Raw genomic sequence first — 17536 nt, 5'->3', positions numbered from 1 at the left:
CATTCAAGAACTATCTTACCTGTTCTTCTAAAAAAACAAACAAACAAAAAAATCTTATCACTCCATCTGTCATCAAATTCTGCATTTTCTTTAAAACCTGTTTTTCTGTCTCTTCCACTGGATTCATGCACTCTTGCATACTAAACTCCCCACTTTTAATATTCATTTATCTTATACTTCTGTTTCATAGATATGTCTCTTAAAATGGAAAAATACATTTATATTAGAGTTAAAATCACAAGCATTTCATGACTTCCATGATACCCAGCCCTTCTCTGAACCACTTTATTTTTTTCCATGTTTTATTTAACCAACATGGTATTACTATGTGCCAGGCACTGCTCTGAACACTTTTCTAATGTCAACTCATTCGGTCCTGAAGCCTACCTTATGAAGCTCATTCTACTCTTGTCTCCATTTCACTGATGGGAAAATAGCACAGAAAAGTTGTCTTTTGCCCAAGATCATGCAGCCAGTGTGTGGCAGACCCAGGATTTGAACCGGAAAATCTGGCCCTAGGATTCATACTCCTCATGACTTACTTAGCCTCCTGTGGAGAGGTGATCTTCCCGTCTGAATGGCCTCATTACCCCACAGCTTGCTCTATACCAGGAACATATGAACAACTTGTCTCAATCATTCCCAGGTTTCCCTTTGAGCTTCATTAATGAAGCTTATAAGATTTATCTGCTCTCCACCCTAGTGTGCCAGGGTCCTTCCTTTTGATTTCCAAGATACCGATAATCTAATCTACATTAATCAAAATTATGGCACTGATAATAGAATTCCTTAAATTTGTAAAGGGCCTTCAGCTTAAAAAGTATTTAAAGGTACAATTATAAATCACCAATGTGTTGAAGGGAGAAAATGTGCTCATTTTGACCGTGAGTTTTGGAGAAAGTAACTCATTTCAAAGAAGGATCTCTAATGCCAGGATTTCAGGCATTGTGACAGACCACCACGTGGGAGAGCATTGGCATCAACAGGGCTTATTCTACCTGCATTTTCATCAGGGTCCTCTATTCTTTCATTCATGTGTACATGTCATGTTTTTCTCACCAAGGAATTTGAGGCTGTTTGTAAAAGTAAATGCAATCTAACAGGATTAGATAAATAGATAAGGGAATTGTGGGTTTTTGTTTTATTTTACTTGAAGTTCTGGGATACAATTGCAGAACATGTAGGTTTGTTACATAGGTATACGTGTGCCATGGTGGTTTGCTGCACCTATCAACTTGTCACCTAGGTTTTAAGCCCTGCATGCATTAGCTATTTGTCCTAATGCTTTCCCTCCCCTCAGCCTCCACCCTCTGACTGGCCCTGGTGTGTGTCGTTCCCCTGCCTGTGTCCATGTGTTATCACTGTTCAACTCCCACTCATGAGTGAGAACATGCAGTGTTTGGTTTCCTGTTCCTGTGTTGGTTTGCTGAGGATGATGGCTTCCAGCTTCATCCATGTCCCTGTAAAGGACATAATTTCATTATTTTTTATAGTTGCATAGTATTCCATGGTGTATATGTACCACATTTTCTTTATCCAGTCTATGGTTGATGGGCATTTGGGTTGGTTCCAAGCCTTTGCTATTAATAGTGGTGCAATAAACATACTTGTGCATGTCTCTATAGTAGAATGATTTATATTCCTCTGGGTATATACCCAGTAATGGAATTGCTGGGTCAAATGGTATTTCTGGTTCTAAGATCCTTGAGGAATTGCCATACTCTCTTCCACAATGGTTAAACTAATTTACGTTCCCACCAACAGTATAAAAGTGTTTCAATTTCTCCATAGCCTTGCCAGCATCTATTGTTTCTTGACTTTTTAATAATTGACATTTTGACTGGTGTGAGATGGTGTCTCACTGTGGTTGTGATTTGCATTTCTCTAATGATCAGTGATGCTTAGCTTTTTTTCATATCTTTGTTGGATGCATAAATGTCTTCTTTTGAGAAGTGACTGTTCATAACCTTTGCCTATTTTTTGATGGAGTTGTTTTTCTCTTGTAAATTTGTTTAAGTTCCTTGTAGATTCTGGGTATTAGACCTTCGTCAGATGGGTAGATTGCAAAAATTTTCTCCCGTTCTGTAGGTAGCCTGTTCACCCTGATGATAGTATCTTTTGTTGTACAGAGGCTCTTTAGTTTAATTAGATCCCACTTGGCAATTTTGGCTTTTGTTGCAATTGCTTTTGGCATTTTAGTCATGAAGTCTTTGCCCATGCCTACCTCCTAAATGGTATTGTCTAAGTTTTCTTCTAGGGTTATTATGGTTTTGGGTTTTACATTTAAGTCTTTAATCTATCTTGAGTTAATTTTGTGTATGGTGTAAGGAAGGAGTCCAGTTTCAGTTTTCTGCACATGGTTAGCCAGTTTTCACAGCACCATTTATTAAATAGGGAATCCTTTCCCCATTGCTTGTTTTTGTCAGGTTTGTTGAAGATCAGATGGTTGTAGATGTGTGGCATTATTTCTGAGGTCTCTGTTCTGTTCCATTGGTCTATATGTCTGTTTTGGTACCAGTACCATGATGTTTTGGTGAGTGTTCAAGTCAGGTAGCGTGATGCCTCCAGCTTTGTTCTTTTTGATTAGGATTGTCCTGGCTATATGGGCTTCTTTTTGGTTCCATATAAAATTTAATGTAGTTTGTCCTAATTCTGTGAAGACTGTCAATGGTAGTTTGACCAGCATTGAATCTACAAATTACTTTGGGCGGTATGGCCATTTTCATGATATTGGTTCTTCCTATCCATGAGAATGGAATGTTTTTCCATTTGTTTGTTGTCCTCTTCTTATTTCTTTGAGTAGTGGTTTATAGTTCTCCTTGAAGAGATCCTTCACTTCCCTTGTTAGCTGCATTCCTAGGTATTTTATTCTCTCTGTAGCAATTGTGGATGGGAATTCATTCATGATTTTGCTCACTCCTTGTCTATTTTTGGTGTACAGGAATGCTTGTGATTTTTGCACATTGATTTTGTATCTTGAGACTTTAGTGAAGTTTCTTATCAGTTTAAGGAGTTTTTGGCCTGAGATGATGGGGTTTTCTAAATATACAAACATGTCATCTGTAAACAGAGGTAATTTGGCTTCCTTTCTTCCTATTTGAATAGCCTTTAATTCTTTCTCTTGCCTGATTGCCCTGGCCAGAACTTCCAATACTGTGTTGAATAGGAGTGGTGAGGGAGGGCATCCTTGACTTGTGCCAGTTTTCAAAGGGAATATCCAGCTTTTACCCATTCAGTATGACATTGGCTGTGTGTTTGTCATAAATAGCTATTATTGTGAGGTATGCTCCATCAATACCTAGCTTATTGAGAGTTTTTAACATGAAGAGATATTCAATTTTATCGAAGGCCTTTCCTGCAGCTATTGAGATGATCATGTGGATTTTTTTCATTGGTTCTCTTTACATGATGGATTACATTTATTGATTTGCATATGTTGAACCGCCTTGCATCCCAGGGATGAAGCCAACTTGATCATGGTGAATAGCTTTCGGATATGCTGCTGGATTCAGTTTGCCAGTATTTTATTGATGATTTTCACATCGATGTTCACCAGGGATATTGGCCTGAAGTTTTCTTTTTTTGTTGTGTCTCTGCCAGGTTTTGGTATCAGGGTGATGCTGGCCTCATAAAATGAGTCAGGGAGGAGGCCCTCCTTTTCAATTGTTTGGAAAAGTTTCAGAAGGAATGGTACCAGCTCCTCTTTGTATCTCTGGTACAATTTGCTTGTGAATCCATCTGGCCCTGAGCTGTTTTTTTTGGTTGGTAGGCTATTAATCGCTGCCTCAATTTCAGAACTTGTTACTGGTCTATTAGGGATTCAACTTCTTCCTGGTTTAGTCATGGAAGGGTGTATGTGTCTAGGAATTTATCCATTTATTCTAGATTTTCTAGTTTACTTGGGTAGAGGTGTTTATACTATACTCTGATGATAGTTTGTATTTCTGTGGGGTCAGTGATGATATCCCCTTTATCATTTTTTATTGTGTCTATTTGATTCTTTTCTATTTTCTTCATTAGTCTAGCTAGCAGTCTAAGTATTTTGTTAATTTTTAAAAAACAAACAGCTCCTGGATACATTGATTTTTTTTTTGGAAGGGTTTTTCGTGTCTTTATCTCCTTCAGTTTTGCTCTGCTCTTAGTTATTTCTTGTCTTCTGCTAGCTTTTGGATTTATTTGCTCTTGCTTCTCTAGCTCTTTTTTTTAATTTTATTATTATTATACTTTATGTGAGCTCTTTTAATTGTGATATTAGGGTGTTGATTTGACATCTTTCTAGCTTTCTAATATGGGCATTTAGTGCTATAAGTTTCCCTCTTAACACTGCTTTAGCTGTCTCCCAGAAATTCTGGTACATTGTCTCTTGTTCTCATTGTTTTCAAAGAACTTCTTGATTTATACCTTAATTTCATTATATACCCAGGAGTCATTCAGGAGCGGGTTGTTCAATTTCCATGTAATTGTGAGGTTTTGAGTGAGTTTCTTAATCCTCGGTTCTAATTTGATTGCCCTGTGGTCTGACAAACTGTTTGTTATGATTTCAGTTCTTTTGCATTTGCTGAGGTATGTTTTATTTCCAATTATATGGTCAATTTTAGAATAAGTGCCGTGTGGCACCGAGAAGAATGTATATTCTGTTGACTTGCGGTGGAGAGTTCTGTAGATGTCTATTAGTTCCACTTGATCCAGTGCTGAGTTCAAGTCCTGAATATCCTTGTTCAAGTCCTGAATATCCTTGTTAATATTCTGCTTTGTTGATCTGTATAATGTTGACAGTGGGGTATTAAAGTCTCCCACTATTATTGTGTGGGAGTCTAAGTCTCTTTTCAAGTCTCTAATAACTTGTTTTATTAATCTGCGTGCTCCAATATTAGGTGCATATATATTTAGAATAGTTAGCTCTTCTTGTTGATTTGATCCCTTTACCATTATGTAATGCCCTACTTTGTCTTTTTTGATCTTTGTTGGTTTAAAGTCTGTTTTGCCAGAGACTAGGATCGCAGCGCCTGCTTTTTTTTGCTTTCCATTTGCTTAGTAAATTTTCCTTCCTCCCTTTATTTTGAGCCTATGTGCATCTTTGAACATGAGATGGGTCTCATGAATACAGCACACCAATGGGTCTTGACTGTTACCCAAATTGCCTGTCTGTGTCTTTTAATTGGGGCATTTAGTCCATTGACATTTAAGGTTAATATTGTCATGTGTGAATTCGATCCTGTCATCATGATGCTATTTGGTTATTTTGCACACTGGATGCAGTTTCTTCATAGTATCATTGGTCTTTACATTCTGGTGTGCTTTTGCAATGGCTGGTACTGTTTTTTTCCTTTCCATATTTAGTGCTTCCTTCAGGAGCTCTTGCAAGGCAGGCCTGGTGGTGACAAAATCCCTCAGCATTTGCTTGTCTGGAAAGGATTTTAGTTCTCTTTCGCTTATGAAGCTTAGTTTGGCTGGATATGAAATTCTGGGTTGAAAATTTTCTTCCTTAAGAATGTTGAATTGAACCCCACTCTCTTCTGGCTTGTAGGGTTTCTGCTGAGAGGTCCACTGTTAGTCTGATGGGCTTTCCTTTGTAGGTGACCTGGCCTTTCTCTCCGGCTGCCCTTAACATTTTATCCTTAATTTCGACCTTGGAGAATCTGATGATTATGTGTCTTGGGGTTGATCTTCTCGTGCAGTATCTTAGTCATGTTTTTGTACTTCTTGAATTTGCATGTTGGCCTGCCTTGCTAGGTTGGGGAAGTTCTCCTGGATAATATCCTGAAGTGTGTTTTCCAACTTGGTTTCACTCTTCCCGTCACTTTCAGGTACTCCAATCAATCGTAGGCCCATACTTCTCAGAGGTTTGTTCCTTCCTTTTCATTCTTCTTTCTCTAATCTTATCTGCATGCCTTATTACAGCAAGATGTTCTTCAAACTCTGATATCATTTCTTCTCCTTGGTCAATTCAGCTATTGATATATGTGTATGCTTCATGAAGTTCTCGTGCTGTGTTTTTCAGCTCCATCAGGTCATTTATGTCCCTCTCTAAACTGGTTATTCTAGTTGGCAGCTTCTGTAACCTTTTATCAGGGTTCTTACCTTCTTTGCATTGGGTTTGAACATGCTCCTTTAGCTCAGCAGAGTTTGTTTTTACCCACCTTCTGAAGCCTACTTTTGGCCATTCGTCCATCTCATCCTCTGTCCAGTTCTGCACCCTTGTTGGAGAGGCATTGTGATCATTTAGAGAAGTGGCACTCTGGCCTTTTGGGTTTTCAGCATATTTTGTTATTGTTGTTGATTCTTTCTCATCTTCATGAGTTTGCCTAGTATCGATCTTTGAGGTTGCTGACCCTTGGATGGGGTTTTTGTAGGGACTTTTTTCTGTTGATGCTGTTGTTGTTGCTTTCTGTTTGTTTGTTTTTCTTGCAATGGTCAGGTCCCTCTTCTGTAGGGCTGCTGTGGTTTGCTGGTGATTCACTTCAGGCCCTATTCATCTGGTTCACTACCATACCTGGAGATGTCACTTGAGGAGGCTGGAGAACAGCAAAGATGGATGCCTGCTCCTTTCTCTGAGATCTCTCACCTTGAGGGGAACTGACCTAATACTAGTGGGAACACTCCTGTATAGGGTGTCTGACAAACCATGTTGGAGGGTCTCACCCAGTTGGGTGGCATGGGGAGCAGGAACCATTTAACAAAGCACTTTGACTGTCGCTTGGTGGAGGGGGTGTGCTTTGCTGGGGGGAAACCCATTCGTCTGTGCTGCCCAGATTTCTCAGAACTAGCAGGAGGAAAGACTAAGTCTGCTGGTCTGTGGAGACTGTGGCCACCCCTCTCCCTAGGGGCTCAGGCCCAGGGAGACCAGAGTTCTGTACCTGAGCCCCTGGCTGGAGTTTTCGGAGTTTCTGCTGGGAGGTCCCACCCAGTAAGGAGGGATGGGTCAAGGTCAGGCCTGAAGAGGCACCCTGCAATCTGCCACAGCAGGTGTGTTGGACTGTAGGGGATACCTCTTGGGAGTAAGCCGTCTAGCCTCCCTGGCTCCAGCAGGGGAAAAGCACAGCCTGAAGCTACAGAGAGGGTTGCTGCCCTTCCCCCACCCTAGGAGCTTAGTGTGTTAGGCTTTGATCAGACCCAGTGTTGGCTGTCACACCTCCCCCAAGGAGCTCAAACGGCTTAGACAGAAGGCAGCCGCAGCTGTGGTGCTGGTCACCCCTCCCCCGGGAGCTCAGCAGGCTTAAGCAGATTCTAGCTTAATGGCTGTTGAGAATCTGCACAACTCCATGGTTGAGACCCCTAGGCCCGGGTGGTGTGAGCTCATGAGTGGGATCTTCCAATCCGTGGGTTGCACAGTTCTATGGAAAAAGCACTTTTTCCCAGGCTGGGTAGCACACTCACTCACTGCCTCCCTTGGCTGGGGGGTGGGGGCATCCCTGCCCCATGTGGTTCTCAGGTTGGCAGTCACACCACACTGCTCTTCCTTCCTCTCCATGAGTCATGCCAGCTGCCTAGTCATTTGTGATGACAGAACCTGGATACCTCAGTTGTTGTTACAGGATTCACATGCTGTTATGGTTCTTTTTGTTGGGAGCCTCTGATCACAACTGCTTCTAGTTGGCCATCTTGGCCCTGCCCATCAGAAATTGTGGCTTTTATACATGTTCTCTGCAGTGGGGATCCAAATACTTGCTCCAGTTGCCTGGCACCACCATGAGGGCCTGAGGATCAGAGGTACAAGGCACGCTTCAAGCTTGCACAGTTTCTTCTTTTCTAGTTAGAGCTTTGCCCCAATCAAGCTGGTGAGCATAACTGGAGTTATGGTGTGCACCAAGTAACCCTGGCTCCTTTTAAAGGAGAGTCCAGAAACTAGCATGAGCAGCTGATCTAACCTTCCTTTTCTCTAAATCCTGTTCAGATTTCTACTTGGCTGTCCAATGCAGGGTACCTCCCAAACAGAAGTCATTTCCAGCCCTTGATTCACCATACCAATTCTCGGGAGACAAGAGAGGAAGATAAGAGAAAATGAGGAAATTAAAATGATGTGGGAGAAATGTCTCTGATTTTGTTTGGGCTCTAATTTGGTTAGTCCTCTCATTAAAACTCCACCTTTCTACAAACAATATGGCAACCTAATTTAGGTAGCCTAAGAATTCCATTTTCACTTTGAACTATTTTAGAGCTCTCCTTCCCTGTGGATGGAGTAAGGCCTTGAGGGTGTCTTTGGAACTGAAGTTGCTGGGGACATGACAGGGACCATCTGAGTCAGTGAGAGAAGAGATTACACATGGAAAATGGGCACAATGAGAGAAATATAAAATAAAGCCATATGGAAGATGAGCCAACAGGAATGCACATCTTAAGATACTATACACTTGCTGTAAGTGGTCTACAAAGTTGGTTCTGAGCTTCCTAGGAGCCAAAGGAAGGGAAAAAAACAATCATTTTTAAGAGGGGAAATGTCCACATTATAAAGTCAACACAGTTAGAAGAAATACACATTTCCTTGTAACTCAGATATTAAAGAAATTTTGTTTCAAGATCCTTATTAAGGGACTATGGCTGACAGGAACACATTGTTCTCACTAACATACCTTTATTAAATTTCCCAAAACTTATCACACTCTTTGACATGATGAAAATCAGTAAAAACAAATCCAAAAGAGCTGTTTTCTTCAGGTAAGGTGCTATGTTATATAGTCAGCATACTTCCATAACTAACCGATAAATCACTGGAGTCACTTATAAATGAGATTTGGGTTTTATGCTTTTTAATTTTTTGATCATTTCTATCAGAGAAATTTAATTAATGTAGATAAATCAGAGACCTCATTTCACTAATTTCAGTCCTTTTCCCCACTCCTGGAGTTTTCTCTACCAAGTGTCCATGGTACCCTGATGTTGTAATCTGTCCACAACTGATTAAGGGCAAGCTCTTGACCTAAGGGAAACCCATTGCTAGGCTGAGCGGAGCTAATCGGATTCTCTCCACTGAGAAATTAAACCAGGAAAAACACAAATCCCGCTATAATGATTCATTCTGGAAAAACAAGCTGAAAGAGCAGAGTGCATTTATGGCAAGCCAAAACACACCAAACTTGTGGGGAAAGAGAAGCCCTGACCCTTGAGGAGGAAGTTAATGCCTGCAATCCTTGCTGTATTGCTGCCTCTGTCTCTTGTCAGGGGGAAGATGTATTTCACACTGCTATAATGACATACCCATGTCTGGGTAATTTATAAAGGAAAAAGTTTTAATTGATTCACAGTTCTGTATGATGGGGGAGGCTTCAGGAAACTTACAATCGTGGAGGAAGGGGAAGAGGAACATCCTACCGGGTGTCAGGCGAGAGAAAAAAGTGTGTAGAGTAAAAGAGGAAGAGACCCTTAAAAAAACATCAGATCTTGTGAGAACTCACTCACCATCACAAGAACAGCAAAGGAGAAACCGCCCCCATGATCCATCCTAAAGGTGATCCATCCTAAAGGGATCCAACCTAAAGGTTCTTCCCTTGACACCTGTGGATTAAGGGGATTACAATTCAAGATGAGATTTGCATGGGGACACAACCAAACAATATCATTCCACACCTGGCCCCTCACAAATCTCATGTCCTGTATTTCAAAACACAATCATGCCTTCCCAGCAGCCCCCCAAAGTCTTAACTCATTCCAGCTTTAACCTCTAAGTCCAAGTTCAAAGTGTCATCTGAGACAAGGCAAGCCCCTTCCACCTATGAACCTGTTAAATCAAAAGCAAGTTAGTTACTTCCAAGATAGAATGGGAGACAGGTGTTGGATAAGTGCTCCCATCACAAATGGGAGAAATTGGCTAAAACAAAAGGGTGACCGGCCCCATGCAGGCCCACAACCCAGCAAGGCAGCCATTAAATTTTAAAGCTCTGAAATGATCTCCTTTGTCTTCATGTCCCACATTCAGATCATGCTGATGCAAAAAGTGAGCTCCCATGGCCCTGGGCAGCTTTGTCCCTGTGGCTTTGCAGGGTACAGCCCTCCTCCCAGCTACTTTCACAGGCTAGCATTGAGTGTCTGCAGCTTTTCCAGGTGCATGGTGCAAATTGTCAGTGGATCTACCATTCTGGGGTCTGGAGGATGTGGCTGTCTTCTCAAAGCTCCACTAGGCAGTGCCCCAGTAGGGCCTCTGTGTGGGGGTTCCAACCCCACATTTCCCTTTCACACTGCCCTAGCAGAGGTTTCCCATGAGGGATCGGCTCCTGCTGCCAACTTCTGCCTAGACATCTAGGCATTTCCATACATCCTCTGACAACTAGTCGGAGGTTCCCAAACCTCAATTCTTGACTTCTGTGCATCTGCAGGCTCAACATCACATGGAAGATACCAAGGGTTAGGGCTTGCACCCTCTGAAGCCATGGCTCAAGCTATACCTTGGCCCCTTTTAACCACGACTGAAGCTGAAACAGCTGGAATGCAGGGTTCCATGTGCTGAGGATGCACAGAGTAGGGGGCCCTGGGCCTGGCCTCTGAAATCATTTTTCCTCCTAGACCTCCAGGCCTGTCATAAAAGGGGCTGCTGCCAAGATCTCTGACATGCCCTGAAGATATTTTCCCCATTGTCTTGGTGATTAAAATTCAGCTCCTCATTACTTATGCAAATTTCTGCAGCTGACTTGAATTTCTCCCTAGAAAATGGATTTTTTTTTCTATCATATCATCAGGCTACAAATTTTCCAAACTTTTGTGCTCTGCTTCCCTTTCAAACATAAGTTCCAATTTAAAACCATCTCTTTGTGAATGCATAAAATTGAATGCTTTTAAGAGCACCTAGGTCACGTTTTGAACCCTTTGCTGCTTAGAAATTCTTTTCCACCAGATACCTAAATCATTTTTCTCAAGTTTAAAGGTCCACAGATCTCTAGGGCAGGGGCAAAATACTGCCAATCTCTTTGCTGAAGCAAAGCAAGAGTGATCTTTGCTCCAGATCCCAATGAGTTTCTCATTTCCATCTGAGACCACTTCAGCCTCAACTTCATTGCCCATATTACTATAAGCATTTTGGTCAAAACCATTCAACAAGTCTCTAGGAAGTTCCAAACTTTCCCAAATCTTCCTGTCTTCTTCTGAGCCCTCCAAACTGTTCCAACCTCTGCCTATTACCCAGTTCCAAAGTCACTTCCACATTTTCAAGTATCTTTATAGCAGTACCCCACTCAACCAGTACCAATTTACTGTATTAGTCCATTGTCACACTGCTATAAAGACATATTCAAGACTATGTAATTTATAAAGGAAAGAGGTTTAATGGACTCACAGGTCTACATGGCTGGGAGGCCTAAGGAAACTTACAATTATGGCAGAAGGCAAAGGGAAACCAAGACACCTTCTTCACAAGGTGGCAGGAAGGAGAATGGACACAGAAGGAACTATCAAACACTTATAAAACCATCAGAACTTGTGAGAACTCACTCACTATCATGAAAACAGCAAGGGGAAAACTGCCACCATGATCCAATCACCTCCCACAGGGTTCCTCCCTTAACATGTGGGGATGGTGGGGATTATAATTCAAGATGAGATTTGGGTGGGGACAGAGCCAAACCATATCAGAAGCAGTAAGACATATCTTTTTTCTCCCAGACTCTCCACCCTGTCACTTTCGTCTCCATATTTTCAGACAAGTCTTGCCTTGGATGTCCTTCTTAAGAAATGGCAGTGGAGCCTGGAGTCATTGCCTTGATGAGGGCAGGAATAAGGAGGCAAGCTCTGGGGAAAACAAGAAACTGGTTGACTGAGGGACTATCATACTGATAATGACATCTGATGCTTATGCTGTTAAATGTATTCATTTATGACAAGACAGTTGAGCACTTTGAAATGAAATCTTTAAAAGTACCTCATGCACTGTGGGAGAAAATACCCAGGTTCCTGAAGGAGGAAATCGACACTCAACTCTCTAGGAAACAGAATGTAAAGCATTAACTCAAGCTCTTGCAGATTAAGATGGCAGTTTGCTAGAGCAGACGACCTGGGAAAATCAATACAGCAACAATTACCTCTACAGTATGAAAGCACTGGCCAACCTAAGTACCTTTGAGATTCCATTTCATACTACAGAGGAGTGGCTCCACTTCCTAATGGATGAGCATTTTAGCTCCTACTGTGTAGATCTCCCAAACACTAGTATCCTTTCAAGAGTGCCTACAAGGCCTTTCTTGATATTCCACTAGACGACCATGAAACAGTATACTCTGTGAAGCAATCTCTGGCCAGAGTGAGCACTTATTTTTATCAGGAAGCAGCATCTTTCTACTTGGCTATGACAATCAGGTCAGCTAAATATGTCATCCTGTTTCCCAACCCCATCCATTAGAAGGTAATACCTCTTTCCTGCTGAGCACTTTTTCAAATTGAAAAACTTCAAGGACAGCTGCAATGCACTGGAGAGTGCCCTGTGACTAAACTGAAGGACCCTAAGTGCCAGACACATCCAAACTGACATCTCTGCCAAGTGCCCAAGGCACCCCTTCAGTTGCCTGGCTCAGCAAACACAGACAGTACCAAAGCAAGCTCCCACTAAGTTCAAGACTCTTAGAGCCGATGCCTGGAGGATCATTCCCCAACTATTTCTATTTGGCAATATCAGAACTTCAGTAATACTAATAGTGTATTTCTGTCATTGAAATGCTACTCTTAATGTTTATCTTATGCTTTCCTTAAACTCCTCCTGGTTCTGACCTTGGTGAGCTTACCTGGCCAGTTAGAGCTGGAGCAGGTGCTTGGTGACCACAGCTACCTATTTACATTGCTTGAATAGGGACTGCTTTGGTAATGCCCAGAAAGCTGAATAAGTGGAAAAGATGTTCGCAGGGGTTTAGGGGTGGCACATCTGGATCTACTGAAAATTTAACATAGCTTTCTTGATGGGCAAATCAATTTTTTTCACTCTGTACTCTGTCATGAAGAAATTAACACGATTTTAGAAAAATCTGTGCTGACATTTGACACTGACTTTCTCATTTACTAGATATACTACGAAACAGTGAAGAAACACTTCCCCTTAACCAGCTAATGCTGGTCAGACTCCAACAATTAGTTATTTTAGAAAATAATTTTTAAAAAAGTTTTCTAAAAAAGGGAGCTACTGGCCAGGCACAATGGCTCACGCCTGTAATCCCAGCATTTTGGGAGGCCAAGGCGTGTGGGTCACCTGAGGTCGTGAGTTCAAGACCAGCCTGGCCAACATGGCAAAATCCCCCCCTCTATTAAAAATACAAAACAATTAGCCAGGCATGGTGGCACATGCCTGTAATCCCAGCTACTTGGGAGGCTGAAGCACAAGAATCGCTTGAACCTGGGAGGTGGAGGTTTCAGTGAGCTGAGATCGCACCACTGCACTTCAGCCTGGGTGACAGAGCAAGACCATCTCCAAAAAATAAATGAATAAAGATAAAAATAAAAAAGACAGAAAAGGAAGCTACTCACAGAAAGGATGGTGGAGGAGATGAACAGATAGAAGCATAGAAGAGAGAGATTATGCAGCTTGTGAAAAAGACCAAGAGGGAAGCTGTCAGTGAATCTCCCAATTCCATACCCAGGGGGACAGATGTATCCTTAAAATAGCTCCATTTTTTGTCTGAATGGATTGGAGTTGGGTTTTTTACTGACATCCAAGCAGCCCCAACTACAGAAAGAGTAGTAAGATGAGCAAATATTAGAAAGATAGAAGGAAATGATAGTTTAGATAATCTGCTGAGAGGATATTTTGGTCCTGAATAATGGAAGATGGAAGAATTTAAACACATTGTTAGAATGGAGTGAAGTATTCACTGAGCTACACACCACATTACTCTTTTTAGACAAAAGTGTTTGTCTTGTGGAGAAACGTAATTTAATTCAAGTGATAATGGACACTGGCTCTTAAGGTAGTCAGTCTTCAAACTAAGATTCCAAACGATTTGTTTTGGTTTGTGCAAACCTGTAACAGTAAAATGTCTTGAAGGGTGCTCCTTCTTTCATGAAATCAAAGCTTTAAGAAAGAGTCCAGAAGGGAGTTACTAGATAGATATGTACCTTTTGACACTGGTATTCATAGTTTGCGGCCCTGCAAGATAATCTGAAACCAATAGTCCCATGATCAAAACCAAACATACAGAAAAAAAAAACATAGAAATAAACAATATCAAAAGAAGGTGAACTAGATCCTTTAATTGTGATTACAGAGAGAGCACGATACAGAAAACAAAGTCTGTGGAGCTTGTGCTGCAGTGGCTGTCACCCTTACAACCCATCAACCAGGTGCCCTTGAGTACATTACTTAGATTCCAGAGCTACCGGGTGCACATTTGTAAATAAGCATAATACATTCTAACCAAGATTATTATAGAGATTAAATTATATAAACAACATAAACGTTTCTGATTTGTAAAAATCTTTCAGTGCATGTTTATTTCCCCATTTTGATATTGGTTTGGTGATAAGATGTACGAAACATTACAGATTCTGGAATCAAAAGGAATATCTAAGATTCCAGTAGAGAGGTCAACTGTTTCCTGTTAATCAGTTCTTCCCCATATTCCTTGTAAAAGAACGAGCTCCTTCTATAAACATTGAGAAGGGCAGTCATTTGTTTTGTGTGGAATTGTACAGCATGGTGGTAGGCATTGCAAAGACATCTTCCCAAGTTCTCACTTACTGATGTTTCTGAGATAATATTTCCATGTTTGGCTGCTTGAATTCATAACATATTTACTCTCTCAATTCTGAGTGCTTATCTCCCTAAGCCTGGTCTGTCACCCAGTAAGACACCTAACTTGAAGGTGTTCACAGACAGGCCTGAGAACCCTTAGGATCTGGCAAAATTCTTCTTTCTAAAAGTGACACATAGTCAAAATGCTAAATAGTCAATAAAAAGTATCTTATTAGTTTTAGGAAATACATTTTTAGATCTTGAGAAATCATACATAAATTTAAAAGAGAATATATTGACTATGACTCACTAAGATGATTTTTGACCCAGTAACGGGTTGCTACCTGCAGTTTGAAATACATTTACTTCCTCCACTCAGTGAAGAAACTGCTTTCTGAGCAAGTTGGGCAGGAAAAGTCTCTCTTTGAGTCAGATGCTGGCTTTTCCTGCAGATGTTTGCTTGCTTCTCTGTCCTCAAGTGCAAGCCCCCTTCACACTGCTTCACAAGCTCTGGAGGATAGAAGAGACAGTCATGAAGCCAAGGCTTCTAGGACCTTCAGAATCTGCTATAGCCACTTAATCTCCCAAGATGTGAGCCCAGGCCATGTTATTAGCAATATTTTTCTGAACAGCTAGAGAAACTAAGGGATTCGACAGAAGATGAGGATCTTGTAGGGGCTTGGCAAAGCTATCAAGCAGCCGAGACTCCGAGAAGAGCTCATCCAAGGCACTGAGCTAGCTAAGAAGCAGAATGGACTCCATCTTGTCCAGGAGGTGGATCAGCCACTGTAGCCAAAGCAGAAAATTGTGGTCCACCTCACTGGCCAGCTTATACATGTGCTCACCAAGTATGACCAGAGAGAATTTGATGGCATTAACAAAGTTCCTTAAAGTCAAAAAATTCCCCAGATCTTATTTTACTGGGGTTATCATGTTCACAAAGTGGGCATTGGGCCAGGACCACTCAAATAATCTCAGGGAAGTTGTCATTATCATCTCAAAATGTTCCACATTTATGAGGAAATAACTATTGAATAGAATCATGATTTGCAGGTGCACAGTCAACTTCTTCAATAGTACAATAGTGTTGAGAGGATTTTCTTTGGCATTTAGAAATAGGGGTGAGAATTTTCTCTTCTTGGTGCCCTCTTTCACCATGGTCTGCCTTACCTAGAAGTCTCAGCTTTGTCCCATGTTGAGTCTATCTCTTGAAAGTTCTAGATTTCAGTTTCATTTGCCATTTTTGCAATCATGAGCATTTTGGAGGGAAAAGATCACTCTTTTATTCTCCACAAGGCTTCCTCAATGACTTATTTCTAAGTAATAAGAACTCTATACCTTTGAGATTCTCATCTTCCTGACCCTGGTTCTGTCTCCCACTAGGATACCTATCTCATGGTGTTCATAGCAAGTCATGGCTAGAATCTTAGGACCCTGGAAAATCTTCTGGTAGATCATTATAGTAAACTTCTTAGGAATGCTTTTTGGTAAAGTTTAAGATAGGCCTTTTCTCTCTAAAACACTAATAGAACTATTCTTTACGATCAAACCACAACTAGGTTCATAGCCTGAGGACAAGGTTTGCTCACATCTTCCTATAGCCTTTCTTTCTGACTTTTTGTTTCCTCCAGTTTAATTCCCAGTAGAATCTACTTTTAGTGTAGTTAATCTACACTAACTTTTAGGTTAGTTTTTTAGTGTAGTTAATCTACACTAACTTTTAGGGTGTCTTACTGTGCTCTCCTTGGACTGTTAACACTATGCCGCATAGCTGTCCCCATTTGCACACTGTTTCAACAAGAATTAACTAGAAATAAATCTCATAAATGTGGCAAAAATTGCCTCAATTTTTTATATATATGATATATAATTATATATGTAATATATATTTTTATATTATACACAATTTTATATATGTTACATATGTATATATATTATATATAATTATATATTATATAATTGTTATAATTGTAATAATTAATAATCATAATCATATATATAATCATGATCATATATTATATCATATGATATATTATATATTATATCATATGATGTATGATGTATTATATATTATATCATATGATATATGATATATATTATATATGATATATAATATATAAATGTTATATACAATATGTATTATATATAATATATAAAGTTATATATAATATATATTATATATAATATATAAATGTTATATAATATATAATTATATATAATATATAAACGTTATATAATTATATATAATCATATATGATTATGTATGATTGCTATTAAATAATATTGTCATATATTATATGTATTTAAATATACATTTTAATTTTTATCTTCCATAAACAAAGAAATAGAAGTAAATGGGTGATTTTGAAAAGCTTTAAAATGATCACCATTAGAGTTTCCAAACAAGAAATGTGTGTTCTAATCCCCATGTTCTTTTAATTATATCATATGGATCCCAGCCAAATTGATCTTTTTATCTTCTTTAATGGACCGTTCTCTGCCTCATCTCTTCACTATTCTATGACCTGTTCTTTTTGCCCAGAATGCCCTCTGTTTTTTCCTTCTCTATGCTATGCACTCTGTAGTAGTTTCTGGCTACTTCTTTAATTTCTCACTAGATTATAAGCTCTCAGTTACTAACTGAAAATCCGACAGATGGTTGGTTCTTACAAATATGTTCTGTATAAATTAATGAAAGAATTAATAAATAAATGAAGAGTTACTAAAGATTATGAAGCATTTCTAAGCTTTTGGCCTTCAATTTATTTTTCAGTATCATTGTGGAATTTATGAAAGTACACCAAATGACTATTTTTCAATCTAAGGATTTATATCTTTCTTCAATTCTGGAAAACTCTCAGTCTATTTTCTCTTGTAATAATTTCTCTTCCATGTTTT

General features: G+C 40.0%; 2 annotated features.

Annotated features, from left to right (window-relative positions):
• Nucleotides 6580-7080: an enhancer, noted in NCBI's record as "NANOG-H3K4me1 hESC enhancer chr9:7880127-7880627 (GRCh37/hg19 assembly coordinates)". NCBI's record gives its function as "activates a minimal SCP1, AML or CMV promoter by ChIP-STARR-seq in naive H9 embryonic stem cells {active_cell/tissue: H9 hESC(naive)}" and the evidence as "EXISTENCE:reporter gene assay evidence [ECO:0000049][PMID:30033119]".
• Nucleotides 7081-7581: an enhancer, noted in NCBI's record as "NANOG-H3K4me1 hESC enhancer chr9:7879626-7880126 (GRCh37/hg19 assembly coordinates)". NCBI's record gives its function as "activates a minimal SCP1, AML or CMV promoter by ChIP-STARR-seq in naive H9 embryonic stem cells {active_cell/tissue: H9 hESC(naive)}" and the evidence as "EXISTENCE:reporter gene assay evidence [ECO:0000049][PMID:30033119]".

The sequence above is a fragment of the Homo sapiens genome, chromosome 9 (genome assembly GCF_000001405.40).
Source record: "Homo sapiens chromosome 9, GRCh38.p14 Primary Assembly".
NCBI classification, from domain to species: Eukaryota; Metazoa; Chordata; class Mammalia; order Primates; family Hominidae; genus Homo; species Homo sapiens.
This window is presented reverse-complemented; position numbering and strand designations above follow the sequence as displayed.